We start from the raw sequence: 2,612 nt of genomic DNA on the forward strand, positions 1-2,612 counted from the left end.
TAACAGTACAGGTGTCCCTCACTATCCATGAGGACTGGTTCCAGGACCTCCCTTGAATCCCAAAATCTGTGGATGCTCAAGTCCCTGATATAAAATGGCATAGTGTTTGCATATAAATTATGCATCTCCTCTCCTATGCTTTAAATCATCTCTATATTACTCATAATATCTAATACAAAAATGTTATATTAGTAGTTATTATATGGTATTGTTTGTGGAACAATGACAAAGAAAGTGTTGATGTTCAGTACAAACACATTTTTTTCCCAAATATTCTCGATCTGCAGTTGGTTGAATCTATGGATGCAGAACCTATGGATACTGAGGGCTGCCTATACTATTGCTTTTTATTTAATTTTAGTAGAGAGGTGGAAGAAAGTTGAGGACATGTGTCAGAGGTGTATGAACCAGGGCCACTCCATCTTAAATAGGAGCTGCGTAAAATGAGGATGAAACCTACTGGGCTGCATTCCCAGATGCTTAAGGCATTCTAAGTTGCAGGATGAGATAGGAGGTCAGCACAAAATTCAGGTCACAAAGACCTTGCTGATAAAACAGTTTGCAGTAAAGGAACTGGCTAAAACTCACCAAAACCAAAATGGCCACTAGAGTGTCCTCTGGTCGTCCTCACTGCTACACTCCCACCAACGCCATGATAGTTTACAAATGCCATGGCAACATCAGGAAGTTACCCTCTTTGGTCTAAAAAGGGGAGACATGAATAATCCACCCCTTGTTTAGCATATGATCAGGAAATACCATAAAAATGGGCAGCCAGCAGCCGTCGGGTCTGCTCTGTCTCTTGAGTAGCTATTCTTTTACTCCTTTACTTTCTTAATAAACTTGCTTTCACTTTGCACTGCAAACTTGCCCTAAATTCTTTCTTGCATGAGATCCAAGAACCCTCTCATGGGGTCTGGATCAGGACCACTTTCCAGTAATACATGCACATAGATATATTTTTACATATGTTTCTGTGTGTGTGTGGCCTGTATTCATGTGTTTGCAAAATACATAAAACAGTAATTAAATGAGATAACTTGTTTTGTAAAAAGTTTATTTGTAAGTAATTACAAGTAGTCACTTTAGTTTTAGAATCGTTGATCTCTCTTCTTTCCTTCTGGCAGTAATTAGATTGTAGCACCAGATGTCTGTTCAAATTATAATTAGGAATATGGATTTATATACAAATAAGTATATAATGATCCTAAAGTTATTTTTAGCTTTGTAGGAAATTTTTTTCTTCTCCTCCTGGCCTTTTCCCCTCACTTATTACCCAGGCTCTTCAAACTCCAAGCCTTAGGTAATTGCTTATTCTGATGTGGGTGAACCATATTGATTTGCCAGGAAAATCTTGATCTCAACCACCACAGAGTAAATAATAAACCCAAGAGTGACTTCCATTTTTGGTTCCTTTTAGCTTGTACATTTGGATGAATCGTTTAAGTTTAACCCTATGAAAGTTGGTTGAAGAATATTTTTGTCATGTTTATAAAATATGTAGCTTGAGTGTTCTTAGAGAATCTATTTTGGACTATTGCCCAGCTACATTTTAAATTGCTACTTGAAAGAGTTCCTTTCCTCAGATGATCTGATGTAGTCATGGCATCTGGTGTAATAGCAACTTTTGGAAGCTCCCAATCCTCCAATTTTTACATGCAATAGTTTGTTTCTTAGTTGTATCCAGTAAATTTAGAAGGCTAGAGGAATTGGAATTTTTAGGTGTTGTAATTTGGCACTAGCATGCTAATAGGACAGTTCTCAAAGGAAGAAACAAACAGAAAAAGCAAAACAGAAGATGGACGAATAGGAACAGCTCCAGTCTACAGCTCCCAGCATGAGCGACGCAGAAGACGGGTGATTTCTGCATTTCCAACTGAGGTACCAGGTTCATCTCACTGGGGCTTGTTGGACAGTGGGTGCAGGACAGTGGGTGCAGTGCACCAAGCTTGAGCACAAGCAGGGTGAGGCATCACCTCATCCAGGAAGTGCAAGAGGTCAGGGAATTCCCTTTCATAACCAAGCAAAGCTGTGACAGATGGCACCTGGAAAATCGGGTCACTCCCACCCTAATACTGCGCTTTTCCAATGGTCTTAGCAAACGGCACACCAGGAGATTATATCCCGCGCATAGCTCAGAGGGTCCCATGCCCACACAGCCTCGCTCATTGTTAGCACAGCTGTCTGAGATCAAACTGCAAGGCGGCAGCAAGGCTGGGGGAGGGGCACCTGCCATTGCTGAGGCTTGAGTAGGTAAACAAAGTGGCCAGGAAGCTCAAACTGGGTGGAGCCCACCACAGCTCAAGGAGGCCTGCCTGCCTCTGTAGACTCCACCTCTGGGGGCAGGGCATAGCTGAACAAAAGGCAGCAGAAACCTCTGCAGACTTAAATGTCCCTGTCTGACAGCTTTGAAGAGAGTAGTGGTTCTCCCAGCATGGAGTTTGAGATCTGAGAACGGACAGACTGCCTCTTCAAGTGGGTCCCTGACCCCCAAGTAGCCTATCTGGGAGGCACCCCCCAGTAGGGGCAGACTGACACCTCACACGGCCGGGTACCCCTCTGAGACAAAACCTCCAGAGGAACGATCAGACAGCAACATTTGCTGTTCAGCA

General features: G+C 42.7%; 1 annotated feature.

Moving 5' to 3' along the window:
- Positions 1,812 to 1,983: a silencer, noted in NCBI's record as "fragment chr8:29306749-29306920 (GRCh37/hg19 assembly coordinates)". NCBI's record gives its function as "represses an EF-1alpha promoter that drives an FKBP-Casp9 reporter gene in an ReSE screen in K562 erythroleukemia cells {active_cell/tissue: K562}" and the evidence as "EXISTENCE:reporter gene assay evidence [ECO:0000049][PMID:32094911]".

Source organism: Homo sapiens, chromosome 8 (assembly GCF_000001405.40).
Source record: "Homo sapiens chromosome 8, GRCh38.p14 Primary Assembly".
Classification (NCBI taxonomy): Eukaryota; Metazoa; Chordata; class Mammalia; order Primates; family Hominidae; genus Homo; species Homo sapiens.